Raw genomic sequence first — 7,090 nt, 5'->3', positions numbered from 1 at the left:
CTTATTGTTATAGTGTGTGTGTGTGTGTGTGTGTGTGTGTGTGTGTGTGTGTACGTGCAGTTATATATTTATATACTTACAGTATATGCCATATAGCCTCCTAGTTTTCCAGTACTTTCTCACACCTGGGTAACCTCTAGTCTGAAGTTTCCTAAAAAGCAACACACTTGGGCCGGGCGCGGTGGCTCACGCCTGTAATCCCAGCACTTCAGGAGGCTGAGGAGGGCGGATCACAAGGTCAGGAGATCGAGACCATCCTGGTTAACACAGTGAAACCCTGTCTCTACTAAAAATACAAAAATACAAAAAATTAGCCAGGCGTGGTGGCGGGCGCCTGTAGTCCCAGCTACTCAGGAGGCTGAGGCAGGAGAATGGCATGAACCCGGGAGGTGGAGCTTGCAGTGAGCCGAGATTGAGCCACTGCACTCCAGCCTGGGAGACAGAGCAAGACTCCGTCTCAAAAAAAAAAAAAAAAAAAAACAGCAACACACTTACTGGTCTCTTTAATCTTCCAGGGTCCCTTCCATGTTGCAGGCACTCAGTAAATAGCAGTTTTATTGTATTTGTGGAACATAACACTGACAGGACTCAGAGCTCCAGGAGGTTGGAATAGAACCTCTCCAGGATGAAGCCACTAGAAGCAGGTCCAACTTGGGGGAGAGCTTTTCCTTAATGTAAAGAAAAGGCCTCTATTTCTTCAGCCCACTCTTTCCTCATATCTTTCTCCTTTTCCTCTTCCTTCTCTTATAAAAATATCTGACTTTGTGCTCTAGGATAAGAGAAAAATGCGAGTCCTGCACTACTGATTCTGATTAGAATTTAGTTCTTCCTCTACTGATCTGATTAGAATAAACAAGAGCCTCCTAGGACTTGAAAAAAATCCTTACTCAGATCTTGGATGAATTATTGCAGAGAGGTTTTAATTGGCTGTGGTTGGCCTCTGACCTCTTGTATAGATTGATTTATGAGGTGAATTTGCCATCAACTGCTGGAGAAATTGATAGCAGCATAGAGTACATGGTAGGAGATAGTAGTTGCTATTTGAATGGGGCTTGGAAAATATTAACACCATCCCCAGCCCCCACCCCACACACCCAGTTTTCTAGTCCATGGACAACATTCCCCAGGAACACTGATGGGCCTTAAGTTTCTCCTACATGTTTGGCTTCTGGAGTCAGATAGGAGTTGCCATTTTCTAATCTGCAGGAGAAAAAATATTAAGTTAATATTTAGCTTTATCTATTCTATTTCTTCCCATAATTGTCCTTAAAGCTGCTACGGGATTTTACATATGAAATTTTTTCTTTCAGCACAAAAAGGATTTGTTGTTGTTGTTATTGTTATTGCTGTTTTTTTGTTTTGTTTTGTTTTGTTTTTGAAATGGAGTCTTGCTCTGTCATCCAGGCTGGAGTGCAATGGTGCAATCTCTGCTCATTGCAACCTCTGCCTCCCAGGTTCAAGTGATTCTCCTGCCTCAGCCTCCCGAGTAGCTGGGACTATAGTCATGCACCACCATGCGCGGCTACTTTTTGTATTTTTAGTAGAGATGGGATTTCACCATGTTGGCCAGGCTGGTTTCGAACTCCTGACCTCAAAGGATCTGCCCGTCTCAGCCTCCTAGAGCGCTGGTATTACAGGTGTGAGCCACCGCGCCCAGCTCAGGGAATTTGTTTTTTCCTTTTCCCACCATTTTAGTTTTCCATGTGGCTCTTCAAGGCACGTGATGATGTCTACTTGAGAACCAGGGCCCTAGAGAAGCACAGTGGTTCTCAAGGGCTTTGGGAGAAGCCCTCGGACTATAGTCTAGCAGTTTCTCTCTCCTTGCTCAAAGAAGACAGTCAGCTTTAGAGGGACTGCATGAGACAAAAGGAGCTGTGAGCACTTCCAGAGCAGCACAGGCTGGTTCTACATCATGTCTGTATCTGGCCCTAGATACTTTAGGATAATGGGAAGCCTGTGCTCAGTGATACTTCTCTTCAGTTCATATTACTTGTAGGATGTAAGACAGTTCATCTCCAATGAGCCATTTTTGGAGAATGGTTTAGAAATAAGTGAAGCATTTCCTTGCAGGGATGATTGCAGCCTGTGTGTTATTCTGATTATACAGCCATCTACTGTCTAGTCCCTGCCTTCCTTCTCCGACAAGCTGCTTCTTTTTTTCTTTTCCATTTCTTTTTTTTTTTTGACAGAGTCTCTGTCACTAGGCTGGAGTGCAGTGGCGCGATCTCAAGTGGCTGCAACCTCTGCCTCCTGGAGTCAAGTGATTCTCCTGCCTCAGCCTCCCGAGCAGCTGGGACTACAGGTGTGCACCACCACACCCAGCTAATTTTTGTATTTTTAGTAGAGACAGGGATTCACCATGTTGGCCAGGGTGGTCTCAATCTCTTGACCTCAGGAGATCCGCCTGCCTAGGCCTCCCAAAGTGCTGGGATTACAGACATGAGTCACTGCACCAGGCCTTTTCTCCAACAGGCTTCTAAACCTTCCATGGCAGTTTGCTAGGTATGGAGTCAGTGCCTAATAACTTCATAGTAATTTTGTACATTCATTCCACAAATATTTATTGATTGCCTACCATTAATAACCTCTTAGTAGGCACCTGAAAAAAAAAGGCATGGCTCTTACCCTCACTGAGCTTAGTAGATTCTACAAGCCAGTAGGCATCGAATAAGTAAACACATGAAAAAATCACAAATTGTGGTATGTGCTAGAAAACAAAAGGAACAGGATGCTATGTGAGAGAATAAAAGGGGAAGCCTACATTACAGTAGGTAGTCAGGGAAGGACCCCCTGAGGAGGTGCCGTGTAAGCTGAGACCTAAAGAAATAAGGCAGCCATGGGAGAATGGGGGAATGCACCCCAGGCAGAAGTGGCAGCATGTGCAAAGGCCCTGCACAGGAGTAGGGTTGAGCAGGTGAAACTTAGGAGCTCAAAAAGGCCTTGTGGCTGAGGCATCATGAGCAATGCAAAAGTGCATAGGTGGTCAGAAGGCCAGATTCATTTAAGGTTTTGCATCCTGTATTAAGCAGTCTGGACTTCGTTCCCATGTGCAATGTGGAGACATGCTGACCCTTACAGGACCTCATTAAAAACTCTGCATCGAACCTCTGGCTAAAGAAGGCCTGTTGTCAGCCTTGAGCCAAACTAAACAGTCATATGTTTTGAAAAAGTGTAGTGTATCTCTTTCAATATTTTTTTCAAGGCCAGGCACGGTGGCTCACACATGTAATCCTAGTGCTTTGGGAGGCTGAGGTAGGATGATCTCTTGAGGCCAAGAGTTTGAGACTGCCTGAGCAACACAGCAAGACTCCATCTCTACAAAAAAAATAGCACAGTTACCCAGGCATAGAGGTGTGTGCCTGTAGTCCCAGCTACTCAGGAGGCTGACATGGGAAGATCACTTGAGCCCAGGACATCAAGGCTGCAGTGAGCCAAGACTGCACCACTGCATTTTAGCCTGGGCAACAGAGCAAGACCCCGTCTCAAATATATATATGCATATACATATTTTAAATGCAAATTATATACCCTGTATGGATATTATACAATTTGTATGCCATCTGCTTCCGTATTTAATATGTTACAGGAGTGTCTCATATCATCGAATAGTCATCTACAATAGGACTTTTAATGACTTCATACAATTTTCAGGCTGGGAGTGGTGGCTCACGCCTGTAATCCTAGCACTTTGGGAGGCCGAGGCAGGCGGATCACCTGAGGTCGGGAGTTCAAGACCAGCCTAACCAACATGGAGAAACCTTGTCTCTATTAAAAATACAAAATTAGCTGGGCGTGGTGGTGCATGCCTGTAATCCCAGCTACTCAAGAGCCTGAGGCAGGAGAATCACTTGAACCTAGGAGGCAGAGGTTAGGGTGAGCGGAGATCACACCATTGCACTCCAGCTTGGGCAACAAGAGCAAGACTCCGTCTCAAAAAAAAAAAATTCAGTATGAATGTACCATAATGAATTTAGTCTATCTCTTATTAGACATTTGAGTCTAATAGCTTAAATAATAGCTTAGTAACAAGGTAACAATATAAATAACTCAATAATAAATAACTTAAGTAACGATGTATAGAATTTACTTGTACAACGTTTGCACTTATGTATCTGATTATTCCCTTAGGAAAAACTCCTAGAAATGAAATTGCTAGGCCAAAAGAGTAAGCTTGTTTTTATGATTGGATCAAAACCACTAAGGAGTCAGCCTGAAAGTTACCAATTTTCACACTGTGAGTGAAATTTGAGAGTGGCCATTTCAACAGGAGTTCTGTTTTCAAATGGTGTGCATCAGGCTGCAGAGAAAAAGAGATGTTACTTAGGCCCACTTGGGTTGGAATCTTGAGTCTGGCCTCATAAGCTTTGGGTACTGCCAGTAAGATACTTGACTTTAAGGATTCAGTTTCCTCATCTGTAAAATAGGGGAGATAATAGTATTTGCCTCACAGGATTGCTGCAAAAATTGAGGCATGGAAAGCATTTAATATGGTATCTTCCCCGAGTACACACTTAATGAATATTAATTCTTTAGTTCTTTCTTTCTCCTTTCTCATTCTGTGTGTGTGTGTGTGTGTGTGTGTGTGTGTGTGTGTGTGTGCGTGTGTCTTATGGGTGTGGATTTGGACATGCTTTTGAGCAAATGGAAAAAGGAAAATCCCTGCCTTCATTATGACATCTTTCAGGCATTTAATGAAGTGTTTACCCACTTTCTCCTGGTAACTAAGAGTGTAATCTTCATATTCAAAAGTGAAATTGTTCCTGCACAGATATTTCCTTTTAAAGGAGAGGACAGGTCATTTTTGGCTAACACTGGGCTTAGGAACTATCTGTTTTGCACTTAGATATTTCATTATTTTTTCATATTATGAGCCTAAAATGTGACATGGGAGTAAGAGCCCCTAAATTCCTGGGTTTGAAGGCCGGCTCTTGCCACTCACAGGTGGCTTGGTTTTGGGTAAGTTGCTCACACTCAGAGCCTCATTTTCTCCTACTTTCATATGAGATAATAATACCACCTCTCAGTGTGGCTTTGAGGATTAAATGGAATTAACATAAGCAAGAGTACTTACCCTATGCTGTATAGGTCAATAAATGTTGAAGCCAAATCTCTCACCCACCTCCCAAGCAATGAATAGTGAAGAATTGGGCACATAAATCTCCCACATTCATGAGAAAAGACATCTGCTTTTAGGGGTAGCTCAGTCCTTTATTTCTGCAGTGATCTATTGCCTCTCCCCTTTCATACGCTGTCTGAAAAAATCACAATGACCCTGACTTATAACCAATATGAGAAAACATAAGTGATAAGGACACTGATGAATCTCCTGACACATTGCAGAGTTGTTTGAATAAGATCGACCCCCAATTTTCCTCCTTTGCCAACCTAGAAAAACTCTGAAATGACAAAGAAGTCCCAGGCAGCCAGTAGCCCAACAAACTGAAATGTGGAAGGAGTGCCTGAGTTCATGGTGGTCCTAAGAAAGTGTCAGCAAACAGAGAATCGCTGGTTTCTGGAGTGTACTGTAAAAGGTACATTCAGTCCTGCTGGTAGTGATGGCCTTGTTGTTACCATGCTGGAACCAACTTGAACTTGAACATATATAGATTTTATTTGGGGTGGGAGGAGGTAGCAATCAGGTTAGGAAAAAAGCCTAGATAATTAGAAAAAGCTTGGGAAGATCAGAAGTTTAAAAGTCATAGCTCAAATGAAATTTTGAGATTTTCTTCTTTCTTTCTTTCTCTCTTTCTTTCTTTCCCCTCCCTCCCTCCCTCCCCCATGCCCCTTTCCTCCTTTCCTCCCTTCCTCCTTCTTTCCTTCCTTCCTTCCTTCATTCCTTCTTTTCTTCCGTCTTCCTTTCCTTTCTTTCGTTTCCTCTCCTCTCCTTTCCTGTCTCTTTCTTTCTTTCCTTCTTTCCTCCCTCCCTCTTTCTTTCTTTCCCTTCCTCCCTCCCTCTCTCTCTTTCTCTCTCTCTTTGTCTTTTTCTGTCTCTCTCTTTCTTTCTTTCTTTCTCTCTCTCTCTCCTTCCCTCCTTCCTTCCTTCCTTTCTTTCTCTCTCTCTCTCTCTTTCCTTCCTTCCTTCCTTCCTTCCTTCCTTCCTTCCTTCCTTCCTTCCTTCCTTCCTTCCTTTCTTTCTTTCTTTCTTTCTTTCTTTCTTTCTTTCTTTCTTTCTTTCTTTCTTTCTTTCTCTCTTTCTTTCTCTCTTTCCTCTGTCACCCAGGCTGGAGTGCACTGCAGCCTCAAACTCCTGGGGCTCAAGCCATCCTCCCACCTCAGTCTCCCAGGTAGCTGAGACTAAAAGTGTGTGCCACAATGCTTAGCTACTTTTCTTTTTTTAGAGACAGGGTCTCACTATGTTGCCCAAGCTACTCTCAAACTCCTCACCTCAAGTGATCCTCCTGCCTTGGCCTCCCAAAATGCTGGAATTACAGGCATAAGCCACAATGCCTGGTTGAGACTTTGAAATTTTCTAATTATTTTTTTATTCTCGTTACTTCTGGAAATCTGTTCCTTCCACCTCTGTAAACAGGTAAAAATCCTCAAATTTCAAGTTCTGAAGGTATTAGCTAGAGCCTGGGCCTTGAGGCTTATTGATCTCTGCAGGCTGGCTTGCTCCACTCCTCCTGGATGTCTAACAGGCATCATGAACCTCTCCATCACTGTAGTGAGAACTCCATTGTTGCATTAAATTTGTGAACATTTATTGGGTTCCTGGTATGTGTCAGTTATGGAGACAGAAAGATGAATAAAATATGGGCTTTCCCCTCAAAAAGTTTATGTCTACTGGATCATAATGATCTATTGCTGTAGACTATCTCTTGATTTCCAACGATGCATTGGAATACTACCCTCATTCAAAAACACTTGGGAAATGGTTCTCTTCTAAAAGAGATGTTTACATGTGTATGTACGTGTATACTATATGTGCGTATTTATATATTTATATGTATGTATGTGTATATGTGTATGTATGTGTATGTGTGTATGTATATATGTATACTTGTATGTGTATGTGTGTATGTATATACATATATACACACACGTACGCGTACCTTCGCTACCTTCTGCTATTTTTTTTTTTTTTTTTGAG

This window comes from Homo sapiens, chromosome 11 (genome assembly GCF_000001405.40).
Source record: "Homo sapiens chromosome 11, GRCh38.p14 Primary Assembly".
Taxonomy (NCBI): Eukaryota; Metazoa; Chordata; class Mammalia; order Primates; family Hominidae; genus Homo; species Homo sapiens.
This window is presented reverse-complemented; position numbering follows the sequence as displayed.